Here is a 25,812-nt window from a genome sequence, read left to right as displayed (position 1 = left end):
AAGTTTAATATTCAAAAATCAGTCAACATGATCCATATTAATAAAATCACATGATAATATCATTTAATGCATAAAAAGCATTTGAAAGATTAAAAATCTGCTCATGATAAAAAGAAATTCTCAGTAAATTCAAAGGAATTGTTTATAACCTAACAATGGGCATCTACAAATTCCCATAGCTGATGTTATATTCAATGGCAAAGACTGAAGACTTTCTCCCTAAGATTAAGAACAAGCAAGGATCTCTCCATTGCTATTGGATGTAATACTGGAACATATGGATTGGAAAGGAAGACCAAAAACTGGCACTAGTCACAGACGATGAGATTGTCTTCATAGAAAATCCCAAGGAATCCATAAAAAAAAAAACTTCTAGAACTAATAATTAAATTTAGCAGTCTCAGAATAATAGTCGACATACAAAAGTTAACCATATTCCTAAATACTAGAATTGAAAAATTAGAAACCAAAAAATTTTAAATACCCTTTGGAAGTGTGTTCAACAAAAGACTCTGGTATAAATCTAAGAAAACATGTGCAGGCCCTACACTGAATATGACAGACTTTGATGAAAGAATCAAAGACCTAAATAAACAGAAAAGCACACTATGTTTATGGGTTGGAAGATTTACTATAGTTAAATTGTCAATTCTCTCCAAATTGATCTATAGATCTAATGCAATTCCAATAAAAATCCCAGCAGGAATTTTTGTAGATATAGGCAAGCTGATCATTAACATTTATATGGTATCAGAAAGGAACACTTCCCAATTCATTTTACAAAGTCAGAATTACCCTGATATTGAAAACAGAAAAACACAGTATAAAAAAACTGCATGTCAGTATCCCTAATGAACATAGGTGCAAAAATCCTCAACAATCAGCAAACAATACCTACCTATATATAAAATAACGAGGTTCCATCAGGACAGCCAAAGGTAAAGGAACTGAAATCACCAAAGCAAATTTGAGAAGGAAGAATATCTTTGGAGAGCTTGCATTTGATATCTTACAAAGCCACAGTAATCAAGACAATATTGGTGAAAAGCTAGACACATAAGTCAATGAAATCAAATAGTGTCCAAAGACATATATAAATATGGCTAAGCAGTTTTTACAAAGTTATAAAGACAATTCAATGGAAAAAAAGATAATATTTTCAACTAATGGCATTGGAAGAATTGGACATTCATAAGCAAAAACAAACAAACAAAAAATGAATCTCAATCTAAACTTCACACATGGTACAAAAAGTAGCTCAAAACAGATTACAGACCTGTAAAACTTTTAGAAGAAAACATAGGAGAAAATCTTCATGGCCGTCAGGCAAAGAGATCTTAGATATGACATAAAAGTGCAATACATAAAAGTAAAAACAAATGATGATTTGGACTTCATCAAAATTTAAAACCTTCAATCTGTGGAAGACCCTATTTAAAGATGAATAGATAAGCTATAGGCTGGGAGGAAACATTTGCATCCCTACAATGGAAAACTACTCAGCAACAGAAATGTATGAACTACTGATACACACAAAATGAGTGAATCTGAAAGGCCTTATGCTGAGCGAAAGAAGCCAGGCTCAAAAGATTACACATGTATGCTTCCATGTATATGGTATTCTGGAAAGACAAAACTATAAGGAAAGATCCACGGTTGCGAGGATAGGGTGGAGAAAAGGTTTTACTATGTGGGGCAATATCTGGGAGCTATTTGAGGTGATGAGACTGTTCTGTTTCTTGATTGTGGTGGTAGTCGTGTGACTCTACACATGAATTAAAACCCATAGAACTGTAGGCCAAAAAAAGAGACTTTTACTTCATGTGAATTGAAATAATAATAATAAACTACAGGCTAATCCCAAATTACCAACACCCAGTTTTCCAACACCCTGCCCATGTTGCTGCTGTCATATGCAAAGTGAGATTGTTTTTAGTCCTCAGAGTAGCTAAGGTGCTCAGGAGTGTTTCTTGTGCTTGGGCGTAATTTATTCAAATCAACTGAGCAAATACTTATTGACCTTTTATTATTTTCCAGGCACTATTCAGGCACTCTGGATACATCTGTAAACTAAACAAACTAAAATCCATGACCTGGGTGTGAGGGGAAGGGTGTAGACATAAAGATAAACACAATAAATAAGTAAATTAAAATTAATAATTATTGTGTATAATATAACATATTAATATATAACATAATAATATCATAATGAATAAGAAATGATAAGTGCTATTGAGAAAAAAAGAGCCAAGAAAGGAGAATTGACAAAAATTTGATTTTTGATTGATAAGTGCTTGTATGCAGAAGGAGAGTAATTTACAACTTTAATTTGAATGGCAGGTTTGGCCTCTTTAAGAAGGGCAAAACTGAAAGACGGGATGCAGACATCCATGGGAAAAGCATTTCAAGCAAAGAGAAGAGCCATTGCAAAAGCCCTGAAGTAGGAGTATGTCTGGCATATTCCAGGAACAGCAAGGAAGCCTGTATTTTTACTCTGATACTGAAGCCACACAAAGACAATACAGAAAAAAAAAAAAAAACCTACCAATATCCAAGGGATCAATGTCCCTTATGAACATACATGCAAAATCCTAAACAAAATGCTAGCAAACTAAATTCAACAGCATATTAAAAGGATTATATGTCATGACCAAGTATGATTTATATTAGAAATGCAAGGGTGGTTCAACATAACAAAACCAATCAACAAAATACACCACATTAATAGACAAAGGCAAAAAACAGATGATCATCTGATTTGACTCATAAAGAGCATTTGACAAAATCTCACACTCTTTCATGATAAAAACACTCCAAAAACTAGAAATAGATAGTAAACTTCCTCAACATGATAAAGGGCATTTATGAAAAGCCCACAGCTAGCAGCATGCCAAATGGTGACAGCTGACCCTCAAATTCATGTGGAATTGTAGGAAACCCTAAGAAGCCAAAGCAATATTTTAAAAGATAAAGTTGGACAACTCACATTTCCAGAGTTCAAAACCTACTACAAAGCTACATAATCAAAACAGTGGAGCTGACATAAGGATAAATATAGAGATCAATGAAATAGGATTGAGAATCCACAAATAAACTCATGTATCTGTGGCCCCTTGATTTTCAACAAGGATACAAAGACAATTTAAGAAGGGACTCTTCAACTAATGGTACCAGAGCAGTTGAATAGCTATAAGCAAAAGAATGAAGTTGAACCCTGACCCCTTGCCATATGCAAAAATTAACTCAAAATGAATTAATTATCTACAATAAGAGCCAAAACAAAATTTTTAGGAGAAAACACAGTGGTAAATCTTTATGACCTTGGATTTGGCAATGGATTTTTACATATAATGCCAAAAGCACAAGTAACAGAAGAAAAAATGGATAAACTGGACTTCATCAAAACTGAAAATTTTTGTGCATCAAAGGACATTATTAAGAAAATGAAAGGAGAACCTACAGAATGAGAGAAAATATTTGCAAATCATATTTCTTTTGAGAGTCTAGTACCCACAATATATAAAGAATTCATACAACTTAGCAACAAAAAGAGAAACAACCCAATTAAAATATGGGCCAAGCCCTTGAATAGACGTTTCCCCCAAAAAGATATACAAATGGCCAAAAAGCACATAAAAAAATTCAACATTATTAGCCATTAGAGAAACAAAAATCAAAATCACAATGAGATAACACTCCATGCCCATTAGAATGGCTAAAAAATTTTTTAAAGGGAAATAAATATTGGCAAGCCTGTGGAGAAATTGAAAACCTTTTATATTGCTGTTGGGTGTGTAAAATTGGTTCAGCTGCTGTGAAAATAGGCAGTTTTACAGTTCCTACAATTCTATTGAATTGAGCTACAATTCTACTCCTAGGTATATATTCAAAAGAATTCAAAACAAGTACTCAAATAAATACATGAACATGAATGTTCATAGCAGCACTATTTACAAGAACCAAAGGAAATAACCCAAATGTTCATCAACAAATGAATGGATAAACAAACTGTGGTGTGTACCCATATGATGGAATATTATTTTATTGTAAAAAGGAAAGAAGTACTGATATACGTTACAATGTAAATGAATCTCAAAAATATTAAGCTACCTGAAAGAAGTCAAACGCCAAAGGAAACCTATTACATGATTCCATTTACACATGATTTATCCTGAACAGTTTAATCCCCAAAGCAGATTGGTGGTAGCCCAGGGACTGGGGAAAAGAATGAGAATGAGTATAGGTTTTCCTTTTGGGGTGATAAAAGTGTTTTGAATTAGATAGAGGTGGTCTTTGCACAACACTGTGAATGCATTAAATTCTATGGAATTGTTTGCTTTAAGATTATTAATTTTATGTTCTGCAAATCTCACCTCAGTGAAAAAAGCTAAGATTTTTTTAAAGTAAAAGATGTCCAGCACCTGGAGCAGTTCTCAAACTTTAATGTGCTTACACATAATAAGAGGACCTTTTTAAAAACAGAACCCTAAATTTCAACCCCAGGGATTTGTGATTCGGGAAATCTAGTTTACACAACTATATTTTTGTGCAACTTTACAATGGATTCTGATGCAGGTGGTCTACAGGCCACACTATGAGAAGCATTGCTGTAAGGTAGGGATTGACAGAGCAGGAATGGAGACAAGGTTCTGGATCCCAAGGATGGCAGACACTGATCCCCCACCTGACCTGGTGTTCCCAGACGGCTTGTATCTCGCAAGGGACCTGTGGGTACGACAGAAAGTTGTAATCAAAAGTACAAATCCCAAAGTGCCTGTATCTTTGGGAGCCAGTGGTGGTGTGAGGCGTGCTTGGCCAAATTTTGCATCTCATTTGAAGAAGCCTAGGGGCCTTTGCAGGACGTGAACCAGTGAAGCCTCATCATTTCACACAGCCCCTGAGCTTGGCTATAAAATCCTGCCACCCACAGCAGCTGCATGACAGAGAGGATGACTACTCCAATCCTGGTACTTGTCTTGCTTAGATATGGAAGTCAGACAGACTGCCCCCTATGTGGACTCTATCAAACTTCAGGAGGCAAGATTAATAACTATCTCCTGTTACTAAGGCCTGTGGATACTTGAGGGATGCATTAGAAAATTAAAAGCAAAGCGGCCTCATTTGTGCAGTCCATGCTGATTACTCCAGACAGCCACCATCCTCTTCCAAAACTCTAGGGCTTCTCTCTCAGGGACTAGCACCAACCAGTCTCTCTCACACTCTCATCAAATTGGTTACCAAGGCCAGGCAAAGTTACGTCCTAAATAGTTCTCAAAATGTTCTCCTGTTCAAGCTACTGCCATCCCTGGAAGGAGCAACTGACAGCTCCTTTGCTCCTCTCCTTTCCAGCCATCATCTCTGCCCATCCATCCCTATAGCTTAAAGCCCTACTACAGCTTAAAGTCCGAGCAATGCCTACAGAAGGCAGGAACAAACCTTACTCAAGATAGTTGATTTTGAGTCTCACCTTTATGCCTCCTCAACCCATCTCAGACCAGATAACTCTCATCTTTAAATGTTTAGCTCAGTGGTCTCCTCATCCAGGAACGCCTCGCTGACCTCCTCCCCAGACTTCATTAGGTGCACTTCTCTGCGTCCTCTCAATTTCTGGGCCTGCCCTTGCCAGGGTCCCCACCATACAAGGATAATGCTCCATTCATGTCTCTACTAGGTGGGAGCCCAGAAGAGGAGCAGGCAGGAGCAGCCATATCTGAAGCAGTTGCAGGACAACTGCACATCAGGTGTCTTCAGGACACCAGGCACGAGAGTCCAAGACTATCTGCCTTGCCAACCCTCCCTGCCTTTCCTCCTGTCCTGTCCATCTTCTCAATTCATTCATGCCCATATTCTACTCAGTGACCATTCACAGGGGTCCCTGATGTAGCTGCAGACCCAGTCCATGCTCACATGGGCCTCACCACTGAAGCAGAAGAAAGAGATTTGAACACCATCTTATTTCAACAGTGGTAAGAAACCAAAAATTGATAGATGTACAGTGCCTTTATTAGCAGATGGGGAAGAGACGACTTAAGTGGCTGATGTCCTTGGCATCCATTTTAATACATATCCTGGTTTCAGATATGCTCAAGTGTGCAAACACAAACCAAAGAAATAAGAAACCAAGGAAGATTACACAATTAATCATTGATTTGCACTGTGATCAGTGCTGAGGGTGCTGAGGAAATGTGAGGCAGTGGGATCTGATTTGGCCCATGGGATGGGGATGGGCAGGCCAGGGGAGGCTTCTTGGAAGAAGTGACATCTAAACCTAGACAAAAGCATAAGAAGCAACTGTCCAGGCAGAGTGAAGACAGGAAAGGCATCCCAGGTAGAGTAAAGGGCATATGTGAAATCTGAGTCTGAAACATGGCTGCATGGCTGCATGCCATGGGCAGGCAGGACCCCCAGAACTGTGTGCCCCACACTCCCAATGCCTGACTCCCTCCTGGGAATCATGGGAAAGCACTGGAGGCTTCCAAGTGGGAACGACAGGGTCACATCTGTGCCTTCCAAAGGCCAGTGTGGCCTTCATGTGAACTGTTCAGGAACTACACTGTCCCCCACCCTTCCTCAATGGTCTGGCACAACAATTACCTCTAACAAACTTAAGTGACAGATATAACTCATACCCACAGGGGACATTGTTTCAACAGGAAAGATTAGGATGAAGCTGCAGGATGCCCAGCAGCAGAGCCAGAGGAGTAAGTGTTTAGGGCTCTGGCCTGCAGAGTGCCCCATGAAACCTTAACTATTGCCTGGAGCACACCGCATTCCTGTTGAAATGATGTCCCCTTAGGGCTATAAGTTATAGCCACAACTTAAGTTCAAGGTAAAGGTGACTGGGGTTGCTCCTTTGGCTGACATAAGGAATAAACGTCAGCCCACGAGGCCTGGCAGGGGCTGGGAGAAGGCATATGCTAAGGCAGAAGCAAGAAGGAGCAGGGCTGCCTTGCTTTGGAGGGGGCTTTTCTCAGAGCTATACACAGACCCAGTTGTAGAGCAGTCCTCATAACCCATAACCCCATGATGCCACAGTCCTGCACAGAGACCACCCTAGCTCCACATTGCCTATAGGGTAAAAGTGAAATGGTCTCCCATAGGGTTTGTGCAAGGCCCACCACAGTCTGACCCTGCTTCTGCTCCACTTTCACCTCCAGACCTGCACTGTGGATGATGTGCTGCTGAGGGGTAAGCACTCCATTCTATGGTGTGTGTATGTAGTGTGGATATGTAGTATGTGTGTATGTGTGGTATTTGTGTGTGTCGTGTGGTGTCTGTATGTAGCATATGTAGGTGGTATGTGTGGTGTGTATTCATGTGTATGTGCTAGGTGCTGTGTGGTGTGTAAGTGCAGTGTGTGGGTGTGTGGTATGCCAGTATGTGTAAGGTGTATGTTTAGTGTGGTGTGTGTGTGTTTTGTGTACATGTGGTGTATGTATATGTGCATGTGATGTGTATATAGTGTGTTTGGTGTAGGGGTGTTTATTTGGTATGGTGCATGTTTCATAGAGATATATGATGTATTTTGGACACCATAGATATATTTTTGGAATTACATAACATGTCACCTCTGTGTTATGAAAAATATTCCTTAAATTATAGTTACCATAAAGACTAAATGAATTGAAGAATAGTCCATTGTAAAAAGCTGAGCATGGTGTCTGGCGCACACATGCTTAGGAAGCAGCTGTGATCACTCTAACTACCATCTTCCCTCAATGTAGATACTATTATTATGTCTGCCTTCAAATCAGGAGATGGAAGATTAGAGAAATAAAGTAGCAGGACCAAAGAACACAGCCACCAAGGCATAGAACAAGCAGGCCTGACTCCAAGGCCCACGGCCTCTTTCCCTCCTCCCTGGAGACTTGGGACCTACTTTGCAGAAGGCAGGGCTGAGGGAAGCCACTTGCCCAAGGACATACAAGTGTGGTACGGCAGAGACGAGCACCCTGTCTCCCATTCCCAGCCCACTGCCATGCCCTTTACTCTGCAGACTCCCTGGAGGGGGTAGAGTTTCACTTCCTATTCTCTAACCATCAAGGAAGGTCAAGGGCCATGTATCTCTTTTAGGGAGAAAAAAAAATGCTCTATTTATGAAACATGGGTCTTATAAATGTAAAAATTACTCATTACAAAACCAGGATGACATTTGACACAGGACTCACCTCTAAAACATCAGGACTGACGCAGTCCATTGGTTAGAACCCAATCTTCAAACTGCAGGCTGTCGTGTCAGACATTTGGAAAACTATCACTATTATTGTGGGAGTATCAGGAAAAAAACAGGAAGAACACACACACGTGTGTGCACATACACGCACGCACAGACAAATGCATGCAGGCTTTGGAGGTAGCCCTGGGTTCAAATTCTAGCTTTATTATTTACTAAATGTGTGACCTTTGGCCATGTTTTTTATCCTTTCTCAGCCTTTGTTTCCTTATTGATAAAATTCCAAAATTTTGGAGGGAAATAAAAATAAATAGATGTTTAGTGCTCAGCCTCCATAGACATTCAACTAATTACTATTGCTTTTCTTCACCTGATATCACTTACTAAATGTCTTTTCATACTGACAAATACTCCCCTGCCCCTGAGAGCTGGCAGAATAAGTCAAACAAGTTTCCACACCAAGATCCTAAGTTAACCTGTATGTTATCAGGGTGCCCAGGCAAAAGGCCTCCTCAGGGATTGCCCCTGAAATATAGAGAACAGGGAACCCAGAGAGGGAATTCTTCCCAAGACAAGCAAGAAAATCAGGACCTGGGAATCTGGCCAAGGCCTGGCTTGGAAAGGGCAGCTAAGACCCCATGGAGGCATTCCCATACCTACAGAAGGGCAGAATGGCCTGAATGAGGATGGTTTCTATGGAATCCAAGAAAAGGAAAATCTTGGAGCAAGATTCACAATAAAAAATCAGACATCATACAAGGGACCTTCCATGATTGTCACAGAAACAATATACTCTCAAAAAACACAAGAAGAAATAATTATGATTCTTGTGTTTGAAGAAATAAAAATGAAAGATATGAGAAAGGAAAAGGGCTATCAAATCAAGTTTATTTGAAAAAGAAACAGTATATCTAGACATATAAAATACTGTCATTGAAATTTTAAAAAGAAAACCTAAATGGCTAGATTATATATCAGATTAGACACAGCTAGTAGGAGATTCAGTGGGTTTAAGAAAGACCAAAAGAAACTGTGTGGAACAGAGTACAGAGAGACAAAGAGATGAAAAATGTAAAAGAAAGATTAAGGGAGGATAGAATGAAAAAGTAAAACATACATCTAATTGTGTTAGTTCCAAAAAGGCATAATAGGAAAAGGGATGGAGAAGAGGTCATAATTTAAAAATCCATATTTTATAAAAGACATCAGTTGGGATTCAGGAATCCCAATGAATATGAAGCAAAATAAATGTTTAAAATAATGTACATTGAGATATATGACAGTAAAGCAATAGAACAAGAATGGTGAAGATCTTAAAAGCGACCAGAGAAAAATGACAAATTACCTTCAAAGGAAGAGAAATAAAAACGATTTTAAAAGGCAACAATGGAAGGCAATAGCTGGGGAGACCTTCCATTTACTGTGAGAAAATAACTGTCAACCAATAAATGTTTACCCAGCAAAACTATATTTCTGCAATTAGGGAGAAAATAAAGACAGTTTTCAGACAAATAAAATCCAAGAGAGTTTACCACAAATAGACCCACACTACAGGAAAGTTTAACAGATGTACTAGAGTAGATAAAAAATAATCCCAGATGGAAGGATAGAGATGCAAAAAAGAATGGTGAGCACAGACATTGAAAGCATGTAGGTAAATCCAAAGAATATTTTATAAAACAACAACAATAACTGTCATATCTGATGGATTTACTAACAGGAGATAAGTTTAAAATATTAGCTAATAGTAATGTATGAGTTAGAAAAGGGCAAAAATATTTGAGTTTTAAGGTCTTGGTGTCTTAATTGGAAGGATAAAGATACTGTTTAACTAAAAACATGAGTATGCCTGTTAATTCACTCTAGGGCAACTACTATAAAATTAATCATAGAGAGTTTAAATTTCATACTAGTAGGTAGGAAACACAATTTTTTAAAATCAATTCAAAAATAAGACCAAAAATGTTTTTTTTTAAAGTGGAACAAATGTAAAAAGCTAAGTAGAAATCATTCCAAATATATTAATAATTATGAAAGCGTAAACAAATGACTTTCTCCAGTTAAATGAGAAATAATACCACACTAGATTGAAAAACAAAGTAAAACCAACAAAAGTGGTTCCTTATTGTTTACAAGAAAAACACCTAAAAATGTAAGGACAGTACACAGAAAGGTTAAAACCAAAGGATGAAGAAAAATCCCAGGCACGAACTAACCAAAAGAAACCTGATATAGTCCTATTATTATTAAGGCAAAATGTACAACTAGGGATAAAAAGTTCACCATATAATGATAAAAATTTAGACTCCATAAGAATATAAAAATTCTAAATATGTATGATTCTTACAACCTCAAATATATGTAAGGGAAAATTCATCAGAAATTGACACATCCACTTTATCATGAGAGATTTTGAATGCATCGTTCTCAATAACTGATACACCATTTCCCAGGCCGCTGCCGCAGGTAGCGGAGGGGCAGGTCCCAGTGCTGGAGACCGAGGCTACCTCCTGGGCCACCTGGCGGCCGTTGTGGTGAAGCAGGTACTGCTGGGCCGGAAGGTGGTGGTGCGCTGCGAGAGTGTCAACGTTTCTGACAATTTCTACAGAAATAAGCTGAAGTACCCGGCCTTCTTCCGCAGGCGGATGAGCACCAACCCTGATGAGGCCCCTGTTATTTCCTGGCCCCCAGCAGCGTCTTCCAGCCGACAGTGCAGGGCCCGCGGTCCGCAAGGCCCAGCGAGGCCAGGCTGCCTTGGACGCCGAGGTGTTCGATGGAATCCCACCGCCCTACAGCAGGAAAACTAGATGGGTGTTTCTGCTGCCCGCAAGGCTGTGCATCTGAAGCCCACAAGAGAGTTTGCCTACGTGGGGCGCCTGGCTCAAGAGGCTGGCTGGAAGTACCAGGCAGTGACAGCCACCCTGGAGGAGAAGAGGAAGGAGAAGGCCGAGACCCACTACCAGAAGAAGAAATAGCTCATAAGGCTGCAGAAACAGGCCAAAAAGAACGTGGAGAAGAAAACTGACAAATACACAGAGGCCCTCAAGACCCATGAGCCCAATAAGGCCTGTTTATTCCAAAAATAAAAAACAAAAAGCTGATATTTCAAGCCGACTTTAAAAATTAATGATAAAGGATATTTGAATGAAACAATTGACAAATTCGATCCAAGGGACATAAATAGAACATCGAACCTAACACTCTGAGAACATGCATTATTTCCAAGCACATGTGGAATATTTATGAGAAGGGACTACATTGAGGGCCATGAAGTCAACCTCAACCAATTTCAAAGGATAAGAACCCAGACGATCCACCTTCTCTCACCTTGATAGAGTGAGAAGTAAATAGCAAAGATGACTAGAAACACTGTAACAATGGAAATTCAAAATTCAAACACATAAGAGTCAACTATAATTTATAAGGGAAATTAGAAAAATATTTCATACTAAATGATACTGAAAATAAAACTTACAAATTACAGAGAAATTTACATGTAAAAAGAAGATGGAAACAGACATCCAAGTTAAGAAAAAGAACACCAGAATAAGCCCAAAGGTAGAAGGAAATGATAACCAAAAACAGTAGGAGAAACAGGAAAAGTCAAAGTTGGTTCATAGGGCACACTGAAAAGTAAACAATTGTGAATAGTGCTGAAGCAGAAAAAGCAAGGAAGACACAGGTAAACAGGTTAGAAATGAGTCACAGAACTCACAAGTTCTGCTCAGAAGAGCGTGAGGGAGCCATCGTGAGCAGTCGGATGCCCACAAATGGAAACTTCGATGAAATGGGAAAATCAGCTTGCAAAATAACAAACCAAGAATAATTCAAGAACAAACAGAAGTGCATTCTCATGAGAATAAATTTTCTCACAAGAAAACATCGGGTTCACAAGCATTTAGAGGCAAGTTCTGTCACATTAGCTAGGGAACGGAAATAAACAATCTACATAAACTCTTCAGTAGCATAGAAGAGAAGCACTGTCCAACTCATGCTATGATGCTAGCATAAATCTGACAAGAAAAATAGCCAGGAAAGGAGTATGAAAGGCCAACCTCCTGAATATCAGTGCAAAAATCCTTTTTAAACATTAGTACATCAAATTCAGCAATACACAGATTATGAATGAGTTGGTTTGCGCAGGAATGCAAGATTAGGAAACCAATTAATTTGCCAGATTAACCCCCAAAAATCATAATTATCTCAATGTGTGGAGATTTAACATGCATCCTTCTCTCTACCATCCCCAACACTGAAGTCTGGCAAACGGGGCACTCTGGATAAAAATGCAGTGTCTTTCAGAAGGATAACTTACTGCAGTATTAATGGGTGTTCTGTCATTTATGCTTTAGAGGAATGGAAAAAGACACCAACTGTTACTGTTGTGTTCTTTCATTTTCCCTCCCACCCCAAGTGGGTTGGGGTAGGGATGGTTCTTTGTGCTCTCTTGCTTTAGTGGAATTCTTTGTTACAGACATGAGAGGAAAAAGTTGTTTACTAAAGTCTGAACTCATTGAGGTGTTTGGCCTGCGGAAGTAAGGAGAGCAATTGTCTTTGTTAGGGGGTGTAGAAGCAGCAAGAAAGAACAGAAAGAGTTCCATAATTGGGGTGGACACTGTGGTTTGTGTCCTGCAGATCAAAGGATCTCACCCCACCCCTGGCAGCATCCTGGGGAGGAGATAAAACCTGAGAAGACCGAGGCTGCCTGGCACACCCAGGGATGCCAGGCCCAGGCACCAGGGCTCCCTAGGACAGTAAAGATCCCAAAGGAGAAGGTGAGTGTAGCAGCAGGGTCCTGCCCTCCCTGGTTCTTATGTGACTCGACAGCATCCTCCAACCCAGTACTGACTCAGATTGAATTTTCCATCAGCTCCCAAGGTAGAAGAGTGTGGAGTCAGAGCTAACTTGATTTGAGGAAGTTGAGGTCACATGACATTTCTGCACACCCATTCTGTAGCTGAGCCTTCCTACTGAGTACACATGCGCAAGACGTTAGAGTGAGAATGGGAGACAGAGATGCACTGATGACACACTGGCAGAAGAAGCTACCTCTCCTCCAGGTCTGGCCACTGCTTGAAGTTGCGTTGGGGGTCACTGCCAGTTTCTCCCTTCTGAACATCCACAACCGGCCCCTGCTTGGTCCTCAGGGACTCCTTCAGGTCCCCACGCAAGTGGAGGGTGCCGCTGGCCATGCTGTCCAGAAAGCCAAGGATCTGGAGGCAGCTCTGTATCCGGGGTGGGAGTGAGCCGCTGGAGGAAAAGGCAGTGCCCAGCAAATCTGCAAATGGCCTGGCCTTTGTGTCCACCCAAGAGCGCAGCAGGTTGCCCTCTTCCTCCAGGGCTCCAAAACAGCCCAGCAGGCAGAGGTCCTCGGCCAGCTTCTCAAAGAGCCCATTCCTCCTGAAGAAGTAGCCATTGACAGGGTCCCAGTGCAGCGCTGCGGACACAGCACAGAGAGTGTACAAAACCAGCTCCAGGGTCTGTCTGGGGGATACTGCTCCCCATGCCTGCAGCGGGGGCTCCTGGAGGGAGCCTTCCAGGTCAGAGAGCAGAGACAGCAGCCCGTTGAACCCGCTGGAGACTCTGAAGGCAGCACGACCCTTGGGGGTCACCAGGATCCGGAGCAGAGACTGAAACACCAAGCAAATCAAAATGAGTGCACTCCAGGAGGTAGATTAACCCTGAGCCCACACACATTCCTGCCAGAGCGTCCCACTAGCTCTTCCCTCAACGACTTCAGGCCAACAAGTTACAGGAAGGATCACTCTGAAACATTGGGATCTCCATATTGTTCCTCTTACGGTTTAGGTTTTCCATGTGTGCCTACTACACTAATCTATACGGTTGATTTAACTGTCCTGTTTTTTGACATGAATGCATATCCTTCCAGAAAGCTTCTGTCCTGTAGCTCATACTCATCCCAGGTCGAGTGCTCACACATCCCCCTCTCATTCCCTGATCAAAACTCTCGTCATACTCTACTGCAGCTACTTGAAAACCGTCTCAGCTCTCCACCAGACTGAAGCTCCACGAGATGGAAACCATATCTGGCTTCCTTACTACTGTGGAACACAGCACACACTTAATGACAATTTGCTAAATGAGTGGGATGAACCATCTCTTATACTGTACAGGAGACACACAGTGAAATCCTCATAGAAGCAGCTTGTTATTCCTTATCTCCCTCTCTGTGCAAGCACGGCTTCATCGGTTATATTAGATGAGGGGAAACAGTAAAATGAATCAACTTAAAATGTGGTGTGAAAAGAGTGTGTCAGAAAGAGAAGAGAAACCTGCAATGGAATGAAATGCATAGGTATAACACATAGCATAGGCCAAGTGTGCAGAAAGCAATTAGGCCACTGATAGGATACATCGTGGAATCCACCACCCTCCAGATCACTGAGAGCTGTACTGGCCAGCCAAGCTTTTATTTCCTTCTAAAATCAAACCTTTCTTGAGCACTTACTTACTTGGGCCCAGTGCATGGTATATACTCTAGGTAATCAGTACATGCTATTGGAAGGAAGGAGGGAGGAAGAGAGAGAGGGAGGGGGGGCTACATTTAAGCAGTTCTCATACTGTGCTTCATCGAAATGTGAAAAACACAGGGACGATTTTAAATAAGTATTAAAAGTCTGTAATTTTTAGTACTTATTTATTGATCAGATAAATTGCATTGGACTCCATCTAAAACTCAGGCATTTGATGTGTGTTTCCTAGAGAGTGGACAACCTTGTGGGTTCCTTAGTAGACTGCGGAGAGAGGTGTGAATTGTTTTATCTTTTCAGGTATTTAATGCTCTAGTGTGACAGGGAAGGGGATTGTCTGAGAAGGCACAGTGTGGAGTCAGTTTCAGGAGGCCTGAGACAAGGTTCACAGAGAAAAAATAAAATAGACACTCCCTATCTGGGGGAGGGGTGATGCTGTGACTTAAATGCATGGCCTAAGCAACAGTCTGTAGTATGATACGTGGAAGTTAGTGAAAAAGAGAAAACTGGTAGCTCAGAAAAACATGTGGGAAGGGTCTAGATATTTAAATTCTTTTTAGTTAATAGAAACTTAGTAAAGTTACAGGTCACTGTCAAACATGAAGTCATGCACTTTGGGAGCTCCATTTTTTTTTTTTTTTTTTTTTTTTTTTTGAGACGGAGTCTTGCTCTGTCACCCAGGCTGGAGTGTAGTGGCGAGATCTTGGCTCAATGTAACCTCTGCCTCCCCAGTTCAAGTGATTCTCCTGCCTCAGCTTCCTGAGTATCCAGCTCCATCTCTTAAATGCTGGCACCCTAACCTAACAGTGGTGTTTATTTGAAACAATAGAATGTGTGTTCCAACCACTGGGATTTTATTCTCTAATGTTATATTCCACTACAGGAAACCTGAGCTGCTGGGCGAGTAGTCAGTCTCACATTCCAGGTCAGAGAACACAGGAGGAGCCTGAACTCTCTTAGTGCACACAGGCGAGGATTCTTTCAAAGATGAAGAGAAACAGCAGCCAAGGATATGCATAAAGGGCTTCCAGGGCCCCATCTATGACATTTCCAGAAATTTAAAAAACAAAACAGATTGCAGTTACTAGGAGAATCTATGAAAGACCAAAGTCCATAATTATATTCAAAATAGACAAATAACATAAAGTGAGGTAGAAAGATTCATCCTTACCAATACAGGCCAATTGATCTTTTCCCAGTTATAGAAAAAGAAAACACACTACTCACAGTGGTTAGATCTGTGATACCTCACCACTTCTCAGAGGGACACTGCAGGGAATTGAATTGTCGTTTTGCTCTTTGAAAGAAACCCAGCATCAAGGCCACCCACTAAAGGGGGCAGTCAAGTGTGAATCGTGGGAAAGACTTCAGGGAAATTGACTTCCCAGGCCACCTGAAAGATGGGGGCAATGATACTGCTTTCTCCTCCCGAGTGAGGATGTGGCCTAATTCTTTCTGAATTTGGCCGAAAACCCAGGAAAGTTGGACATTTGTAGACACACCCTCAAAGCAAAGCATGTGGATTGTTGGAGTAGGTTCCTCCAGGATGGTGGTACTCAGTGTGCATAAGTGAAAGCTCATGGCTTAAGTTGGGCAAGGCCTTTCCCTGTGTAGACAGAGTCACAGCAGCTGCCTGTCCCTGCCCCATCCTGGAGGCCCCAGGGTCAGGAAAGGCTAAGGCAGCTATGCTGCATCTGTGCCTGCCTTATGTGAGCAACTCACTTCCAAAAAAATGTTATTTTTATGGTTGAGTTGGAAACTCACTCCAACCTTGACGTGTGTGTGGTGGTTTTGGTCCCTCCTTTCTAACTGATAAACCATACCAAAGGCTGTTCACTGCGATGTGGTACGGCACGCGTCTGAACCTGACCTATGCCTGGTCACGTGACACATGCCATGAAAAGTCAATCCGTCACAAAGGAAATCTTAAGCTCTACAATGTTAAACAGACTAAATTTATGTGAGTGCTTTCAATGGCTCTAAGACCTCTAGGAGCTTTGTTTAAGGCAAATGGAATGAATAAGCGCTTCTGTTAGTCACATAACACACGACAAAACAAACATCAGGAAGGGAGAATGATTAAAAAACAAAACTGATCAGATTACAGACAATCGCCTGAGTGCTGGGTGACCACTATAAACCCCTCTTCCCCCAAGGAACCCCCTCCCAATTCAGTTGTCCAATTTGATGCTGAATATTGCTTAAAAGAACTCCATCACTCAAAGAGTGTTGAAGCAGATATTTTAAAAAGCAAAGCAACCCAATAATCACCCTCATTATGATCTGTGTCTCTCAGTGGGTTTGTCACCTATAATTCCTAGATGGTTATTTTCTTTTCCTCCTCTTGGGAGGGAGAGGAGGAAGGAATGGCTGTCCTTAATTGTTGCTTTGTTTGATTTATTAAATTCAGAGTCATTATCTAAAATGGGGGTAATCTCATTAGAACTTAGACTCCTCTATTATTTCTTGGGATGGGGTTAATTTCATATTTGCAGAGTCATAAAGTAAAGAGTCCAAAATCCAATTACAAAGGCTTAATTTCATAGCAACTAAAGAGAAACATTTCTATCATAAAGGAAAATAAATACTTCTCTACTTCGGGAAATGATTTGTCAGGAACGGGGAGTCTAGGAGGAGGGTCTCCATTACTGTCATTCAACTTTGCATGATAATGCATCACATAGGGTTTTCAGTCTGCGGAGGGGAGTAAATTTAATCAGCTGAAGTCAAAGTAATCAGGCTGGGGTTGACACATTTCAAGAAAGGTCAGCGTTAAGCACATTTTCTCATCCTAACTCAGTTACCAAGTCATCGTCTCTGAGTTAGTATTCCTCCAGCTTGAATCTATAAAATGGATGTCTGCTGTAAAGCGCTAACTACGTTAGGACTAACAGGATTTATTTCACATTCTATTATTTGTTATTCCTCATAATTTTCCATGTGTCATGGTGGAATACCGGTGAGGTAATGCAATTAAGCTCAGAGTTGAACAGCTAAATGTATATTAGCAAATCAATCTGAATTTGTGCATAACCCAATCACAGTCCCACCGGCCAAGGAGAGGAAATTCATTTGCTTACATTATTCTTTAACTCAGTTATCATTTGCCAGAATTAGGTGGTGAAGTCACATGTTCTTCAGTGTTGGTATGGAAGTGCCACTGGTGTTTGAAATAACTGCCCTAAGTTGCTTCTCCAGAGTGGCTGGCAGACAGACCACAGGGAAGGGATGCAGAGTGATGGCATGCTGTGAATGCCCTTCGGAGATGGGAAACCTTTATAAGAAGGGGCACCCTCTCATCCCACTCAGACACACTTTGTAGAAACAGTCCCTATGGGCAGAGTTGGCTCTCACCTTCTAAAGAGAGAGATCCAGTGAGAAGCAATTCACTTAGCATCTTCGTTCCAAAGTTTCAGGGGGTTCCCATGATGACTTAGAAACAAATGTAGATCTCACATCTGATTCCAGCAAACCTTCACCACTTGCTCATGTGACTCAGTGGTGGGCGAGTCTGGAAGAGGTTCCATTCCTCCCAAGTGCCCCCTAGAGCAGCAGTGTGACAGCCCTAGCCCTTGGAAAACAATGCCAGCTCCTGGGCCCTCCAACTGCCCAGCAGTGACTTGGCACCCAGGGAGAAGATAGCACATTGAGTGCAGGCTATGACTTCATTAAATAAGCTCACCAGTGTTCTTCCCTTATGTGCTCTCTTGATAACTGTGATTCTGAAATGATATTGAATCTGTAAAACACCATAACGACTTTACATTACTAATTCTAGACATTTAGTCCTATTGCCCAAGGGCTGACACTCCAATACGATGCCTCTGGGCTACAGAGTAAACAAAAGGAACTTTCTATGAGCAAAGCAGATCACTCTTTTCTACATTGGACACAAAAATACTTTTACTCTTCAAGCAAAGTAAAAGCAAAACTTTCCTCTCTGTGGATCTGTTTGGCTTTTGATATGGTACTGTCAGGAACAATTATTCACCCAATAGAAAATCACAAGCCTGACTGGTTAGGACATGCCTTCCCTGTTCCTATCCTGCCAGAACATGCCAGTCACGCTGAACATGGACATATGAAGGAAAATGTACCAAACAGCGCAGTGAAGTGGAGTGAACTCTCAGTTTTCAGTTGCTCACCTTAGATTCAAACTCAACTTCACCATTTAGCAGTTATGCAATATTAATTTAGTCAATGAAGCTCTCTGGATGTCTCTCTGCCTTTAACATTAAGAGATTGGACCACATGAATCTAAGGTAATTCCTAGCTCTGGTATTTTCTTTATTTTTGATATATCTCTCCCTTACCCTACTCTCTGCTTCACCCATCCCTCTCACTTCCCTTACCTCAAGTAATCATGGGATTCAAGTGTCTTTCAAAAGGTATTTAACTTTCCTTTTTTTGTTTCGTACAAATCACTTCCACTGATTCTATGGCCCTGCAATTAAATCACTGGCTGGGTTCTTGTCATCTGTGAAACATGATGATTATGGTCATGACGCCACTTTTGGATGGACCACGCAATGCTTTGGCCACACCAATCACTGCTGGTTTAGGCCACATAATAACTGGAACAGCTCACATCAATGTCTGACATCGAATGTGCAGAGAAATAAAGTAAGTATGATGAAACAAACACCATTCTCTAAATGTTAAAAAGGTTTTGCATAGAGATAGGCTTAAGTAAGTTAGGTTGATGATTGACCTAATTTTGGAAATCAGAGCAACTTCACTTTTTTTTTTAATTCACCAACAATCAAATATATCATGTTAATGAAACATGAGCGTGTTGGCCAGGCACGGTGGCCCACACCTATGATCCTAGCACTTTGGGAGGCTGAGGTGGGAGAACTGCTTGAGGTCAGAAGTTGAAGACCAGACTAGATAACATAACAAGACCCCCTGTGTGCAAAGAATACAAAAATTAGCCAAGCGTGGTGGCACATGTCTATAGTTCTAGCTACTTAGGAGCCTGAGGTGGGAGGATCACTCAAGCAATCCTTTTTAAAAGTCATAAACTCACAAAGACAAAAGCTATGTAAAAAAGGAACAGCAACAAAACTGTGAAAGTTGTAAGGCAGAAGAGATGGCAAGAATGATATTTGTTATATGTATTTAACTATTTTAAGATAAATTGATGAATGTTAACAATATTACAAACACATACACTTATATCTCTGTTGCCCAAACATGATAACCCTGCCTCACTTGTCCCTTTGTGCCCCGTGTTTCCACACCTCTGACTGCCTTTTGCTTCTTTTTCACAGCTCACAGGTTCTCTCCCCAGTGGGCCTTCCTCAACCAGGTAAGGCAGCATTGGTCTCTCCTACTTCTGTGTTCCCATAGCAACCTGCCCTCAGTGTCTAACCAATGCACCCACCACACTGCAATGTAACTATTGCTTACTTATTAGAAACAGGCTATGAGCTCCCAGAGGGCAAGGGTTGTATCACAATTGACTATAAGCCCCAGGTACTCTTCATCAGCCCTGGTAATGGGTTAGATGCTCAATAAATGCTCATCAGATCAACAAGGCAGCTACTTGGCCATTGCTGATTTGAGCTGCACTTCCATAGTTTACAGTGTTGTGGGAAGTAGCTGCCTAGCCAGGGAAAACATTTCCTAGCATCCCTTGCATCCAGGTGAGTCCTGCCCAAAGTTCTTCCTAAAGAAAATTGGACAGAAAATAACCCGTGCCAGTTCTAGGCCTGAATGAAAATGCCTTATGCAGTTCCCCATGGTCTCTCTTCCCTTGTCTGCTGGCCAAGTTAGATGCCCAGGTGATGGTAGTTCCTTAATGACAGTCACCAATCATTGACTGGACTGTATGTTGCAAAGAAATTTCAAATGTACCAGGCTACTGAGGATATGGGATTTATTTGTTACAGCACCTGACGCTACCTAATACAGGGTACTGCCTGCCACATACAGTGGCTAACTGAATTACATGAATACAAATGCCTGAGCAAATGTGGATCGCTTGGTGCATATCCACAGGGAAGCCAATCTCAAAGGAGGACTTGAAATCACCTTCAGGAGATCCAGTTTCAGCTGCAGCTCCCCTTGAGTGGATGAGCATAGAGCACCCACAATGATGCTCATGTACTCCTCGGCGTTGATGGCTGAGAGCTGCTCCAAGATGCTGAGCGAGGCCTCCCGGTAGCACTCGTCATCCAGGAAGATCTTGATGAAGGGCACCATGCCGTGGTCCTTCAGGACAACTAAGGATCAGACAGACAGAATGGGGCTAGGGCAAGGGGGAAGCTTGCCACTTCAGTTTCAATCAAAAGAAAAGCTTTGTCTTATAATTTTCAAACTTCATTTTGCTATTTTTTGTTTCTCTTTTGCTCACTGGTAGATTTTTTGGTAACCCATACCCACTGTTAAAGTGAGAAGCAGAAAAAAGAAACTGTGGATCTGATGATTTTTTTAAAAAACTGCTTTCTTCTCCAATGAGAATCTTATTTTTGAAAAAAAAAATGACTAACATCTCCCCATAGGAGATACATTCAAGAAAGGAGAAATAAGTTTAAGAGATCTATTGTACAACATGGTGACTAAAGTTAATAATAGTGTCATGAATTCCTGGGGTAAAAAAAGAAAAAAAAATAGAAACCTAAGTAATAAAAGCTTTAACTAGATCTACCTCTCCCTTGATTTCCCCATAATTTCTTCCCCAGAGCCAATGACAATTTTCTGTCTTCTCTCTGACAAAATTCATATAGAAAGCAAACCACAATTTAAGCTAAGAATATATTTAATTTCTAGATAGTTCCTTGGGGAGAAAATTAAAGAAACCTGACAGGTGATATATTTTTGTTTAAAAGTAATTCCAAGCATTTTTTCCCCAGGATTGATATTGGAGTAATCCATGTGGAATAAAAACTAGGAGGCAACTGGATCCTTCAAATGGCTTGATGGAGATTTGAGCAGACAGGATTTTTCCAATTATGGGCTAGGTACCTCTGACATGGAAATCACCTTGAAAGCATGTTTAAAAGTAGATTCCTGGCCAGGCGTGGTGGCTCACGCCTGTAATCCTAGCACATTGGGAGACTGAGGCAGGCAGATCGCCTGAGCTCAGGAGTTTGAGACCAGCCTGGTCAACATGGTAAAGCCCCGTCTCTACTAAAATACCAAAAAAAAAAAAAAAAAAAATTAGCCGTGCATGGCGGCGTGCGCCTGTAGTCCCAGCTACTCGGGAGGTTGAGGCAGGTAAATTGCCTGAACCCTGAGGGTGGAGGGTACAGTGAGCCAAGATCATGCCACTGCACTCCAGCCTGGTGACAGAGTGAGACTCTGCCTCAAAAAAAAAAAAAAAGTAGATTCCTGAGCTCCACCTTGACTGACCATTAATTAAAGGTCTGGCTGTGAGCCTAGGAATATGCATTTAGCCAGCACCTCCGGGGAACCTTTTGCAGACTAAATGTTAAAGACTCTCTCTCTGCCATAATGAAATAATTTTTTACATTAGGTATAGTTACTCTGTGAAGGCCTCAGATAAAGATGCCTAAATCACCAAACCCACTGATATGATGTTGGTGTGTCTATGTCATTATATATATATATATATATATGCACATATTATTTTTAAAACCCAGAAGCCACATGATCTTAGGACGCTAAAAGAAAATTTGAATGGATTACATTGCTAAGTGCATCATGTCTGATGAGAGCACAACAAATTGCATTTCTTTAAAATGGCTAGATTTCTTTGCCCGTATGTTACTCTTTGGATCTAAAAAAAAATTAAAAAGCATCTACAGTCAGTGCAGCAGGACACTAATAAATTTTTCTCATAAATTTAGAAAATGCTAGATTGAGCATAGTCTTTTTGTCACCAACTTTATTTAGCAACCTTAGAAGTGAAAAGTGTCAACAGAGGTATAGTATCTACGAATTTACTGATGATCACTGAACATCGGCCAAGAGAGGATCATTAGCCACAGCTAACGCTGTGTATTGGTTACTCCTTGAGTATAACCTGTGAACACTGCCATAAATAACCAGGAAAGAGTTCATGTTTTACCAAGCAGTGATGAGGCAAACTTGGCACCATCCTTACCTGCATTCCTCACCGAGCCTTTCAGAAGTGTGACTACAATCCTCAGCATCACACAGGTGAGTTCTCTTTCTGGATCCTGAACACCAGGAGTGGACACTTTGTTTCCTGCCATATTGAAGAAGAAATAACAAAATAAATTAAGTACATGTGGTATGACCGCAAATCTCTGACTCCAGCTTTCTATCCTCTTAAGGAGATGTGAATATAATGCTTTCATCATAAGGGAGTGTGTATCCCAATTAGTAAGATAGAAGGCTGTTACCCCTACAGCAGGGGTTCTCCATTTTGAGCACATCAGCATTCCCTGCAGGGCTTATTTTGTTAAAACCCGGAGCCCCATGCTGGGTCCCATCCCCAGAATTTCTGAGGTAGTAGTTCTTGGATGGGGTTCTATAATTTGCATTTCTGAGAAGTTCCCAAGCAATGCTGATGGGGCTGGTCCAGGGACTGCTCTTTGAGAAGCATTGCCCCAGATGATACACAGAGCCCTGCCTTCTTAATTTTCCTTTGGCCACTTTTACAGTTTGCCATGCATCCTTGGGAGGGATGACTGCCTGCTCATTCCTGAGTCATGGGGAAGCTCAAGAGAACCTGGAGTAAATAGGTGATCCCAGTAGACCCATGAGGGCAAAATCAGATCTCTTTATTCACCTTGAATCCCCATGCCAGCAAAGTGCCTGACACAAATTGGAAGCTCAATACTTATTTGGGGAATGAATGAATGAATGAATGAATGAAAATAGAGTTTATAAACCAGGAGACAGAGTATCTAAGAAACAACAAGACACATTTAACAATAGAAAGTATGAAGTAAGACTAGATGCATGAGCTCACAAAAAAGTTTAATTTCTCCTAGGAGTGGTCATGGGTCTGGAATTGCATTTAAAAGCAAATTCAATGTTAGGCTGCTGAAAAGAAATACCAGCTAAGATAAGACAGAACCACCAAACAAAGAGACGGTGCAAAGACTTCTCATTTAAACACCAAGGAAAGCGGATGAAGCAATACATTAATTTCATTCAAGATGGGATTTAAGGACAGAAGTTACTAAGCAGTAGAAAGCAACTCATAAAATATTGTCCAGGGCTTGGCCCAGAGGCCCAGACACAAAAACCATCCCTTGGGCTCATCCTTCGCAGTCCTGATCCTATTTGCAAACACTCCCAGGGAGGAGCTGGGTCCATCCTGGCCTCCATAAGACGCCTGAGCTCCTCCCTGGGTGTCTGTCTCAGTCTATGGCAGTAGCACTGGAACTATAGGGACAAGGCGACTGATGTTTCTTGAGCCCCTGTTATGTACCAGGCACAGCAGTGGGTCCTCTTCAGAGATTCCCTCGTTAAAATCTCACAACATTCCAATGATGTCAACATCATTACCCTGTTTTACCGAGGAAGACACGGCTCGTACGGGTTAAGTCACTTTCTCAAGATCACTCAGTTTGTCAGTAGCATGGCCAGGATTCCAGCCCTTAGCTCCTTTCCCTCAGAGAGGCCCAGGAAACAGACAGACTGGTGACCTTGGCTTAAGTCTGAAGCAGAATTACAGAAGCAGCCAAAGGCTAGAGAGCTCCCTGACCCTTCCAGCCAGTGCAGTGGGAGAAGGAGAATGAAAGGAGGGAAGGTGGGCAGAGTAAGCATCCAGATTCTTGTGTCCTGGTGTCCCTCTTCCAGGCTGATTTCCCAGAGCAGCAGGTGTAGACAGACTGAGGGAAAGACCAGAGGAGCTGGGGAAGGAGTTTCCACACTTTGCTTCCTATCAGAAAGTCAACGGAGATGGTAGTTAAAGACCACCACATAGAGTGACTCCAGCAGGATATGTGCTGGGGAGCATGGTGAGGCAGTGCAAGAGCCCAACCCCTGAGCCACCAAGCACCCTCATGAGACCCTAAAGCCTCAGGGGACAGCAGAGGCTATTGGGATTGAGACTCCAGGGTGCAGGGGCCAAGTAGGGGCAAGGGAATGTTGCCAAGGAGCCACAGGTATGCAGCCCAGCAGGGCACCAAGACTTGGAGGGGCGTGCTGGGCCCGCAAGACCCCAAGGAGCTCTCTCCCAGTGGGAGACCACTGAGCCAACAGTGCAAAGTGAACAGAGTGAGCTAGGAAGCCATATCCCAGCAGACCCCAGGAGGGCCCCCAAACCTCAGGCCTCTCTGAGCTCCCATTCCTGAGGAGCTGTCAGACCCCTGCAGTCTCCCTGTCTATACACCCACACAATGTCTAGGACAAGAGATATCTAAAACCTGGGAATTCACAAGGCCTGAGTTAGCCCCAGGTTCACCCATCCCTTTCACTTCTTCATTGGGAAGACTGGGTGGCTGCCTGTCTTTTGTGAAACTGTGTGTCCCAAGCATACCTTCCCAGTGACATGGGCATGCTCACTTTCTGTTGCATTTGATGGGCAGCCAGATTGGCCCAAAGGTCAGGCCTGGCTGACACTGACCCCTGCCCATCCCTCCCAATGCACCCAGTGGCACCTGACTTCCTCATGATCTTGGCTTGCTTCCGAAGCTGTGCCAGTAGCAGGCCCAGGAGCCCTGAGTCCCGGAAGATGTCGGTGAAGAGGGGGTCCCCACCAGCGATGCTGAGGATGCTCTGCAGGGCCATGAGGGTGCAGGATGGCCCAGGGCTCTCCTTGATCAGATGCTGTACCTTTCGCAGGATCTCATGAGGCACGTAGTGCAGCTCGAACACCAGGGCCTCTAGAAGCTGGAAGAAGTGTTCCTGCACTGGGGCCGGCTTCAGGGGCATGATCTCTACAAACTGCGAGATGGGCTGCAGGGTCCACTCCAGCAGGAAGAAGTTTCGAGCATTCCAGGCCCACATGGTCCTGATGACTGACAAGACTTGTATGCAGAGGACAGAGTCACTGGCTTTGTGGAAAACATTCTGTAGGACCTGGAAGGCCTGAAGATTCTTAACAGTCACCCCTGAGGAGGAAAACAAGAATGATCTTACAAGTCATTTCTCCTGCCTGTGTCTACAAATAGATGTTTTCATTACTAAGAGGGCATGCCATTTGAAGTTTCTGTGTTCTAACTCCTATGGGCACATGTCCATCAGAAGTCCAGAAAAGCCAGC

At 42.0% G+C, this 25,812-nt stretch overlaps 1 protein-coding gene and 1 pseudogene across 13 annotated transcripts in view, besides 2 other annotated features; one reads left to right on the top strand and one right to left on the bottom strand.

The window, feature by feature from the left end:
• The window catches only part of WDFY4 (WDFY family member 4), a 298,084-nt gene that overhangs the window by 226,186 nt on the left and 46,086 nt on the right, over nt 1-25,812 (bottom strand). For 11 of the 13 annotated variants that reach the window (XM_011539988.3, NM_001394531.1, NM_001370153.1 and 8 more), the window contains 4 exons: nt 25,209-25,661; nt 22,736-22,840; nt 20,701-20,891; nt 13,223-13,803 (listed from right to left, as the gene is read on the bottom strand). In XM_011539988.3, the coding sequence (XP_011538290.1) occupies nt 13,223-13,803; nt 20,701-20,891; nt 22,736-22,840; nt 25,209-25,661 (1,330 nt within the window). Of the gene's footprint in view, nt 1-13,222; nt 13,804-20,528; nt 20,892-22,735; nt 22,841-25,208; nt 25,662-25,812 lie in introns of those variants that run through there. The other 2 variants (XM_047425566.1, NM_001370154.1) reach the window with 2 other exon arrangements.
• On the top strand, nt 10,619-11,251 carry RPL13AP19 (ribosomal protein L13a pseudogene 19; annotated as a pseudogene).
• Nucleotides 10,953-11,497: an enhancer, noted in NCBI's record as "H3K4me1 hESC enhancer chr10:49953319-49953863 (GRCh37/hg19 assembly coordinates)". NCBI's record gives its function as "activates a minimal SCP1, AML or CMV promoter by ChIP-STARR-seq in naive H9 embryonic stem cells {active_cell/tissue: H9 hESC(naive)}" and the evidence as "EXISTENCE:reporter gene assay evidence [ECO:0000049][PMID:30033119]".
• Nucleotides 11,965-12,124: an enhancer, noted in NCBI's record as "active region_3339". NCBI's record gives its function as "activates an Ori minimal core promoter by ATAC-STARR-seq in GM12878 lymphoblastoid cells {active_cell/tissue: GM12878}" and the evidence as "EXISTENCE:reporter gene assay evidence [ECO:0000049][PMID:35858748]".

This window comes from Homo sapiens, chromosome 10 (genome assembly GCF_000001405.40).
Source record: "Homo sapiens chromosome 10, GRCh38.p14 Primary Assembly".
In the NCBI taxonomy this organism is placed as follows: domain Eukaryota; kingdom Metazoa; phylum Chordata; class Mammalia; order Primates; family Hominidae; genus Homo; species Homo sapiens.
Note: the sequence above shows the minus strand (reverse complement) of the source record. Positions and strands in the feature narration are given on the sequence as shown.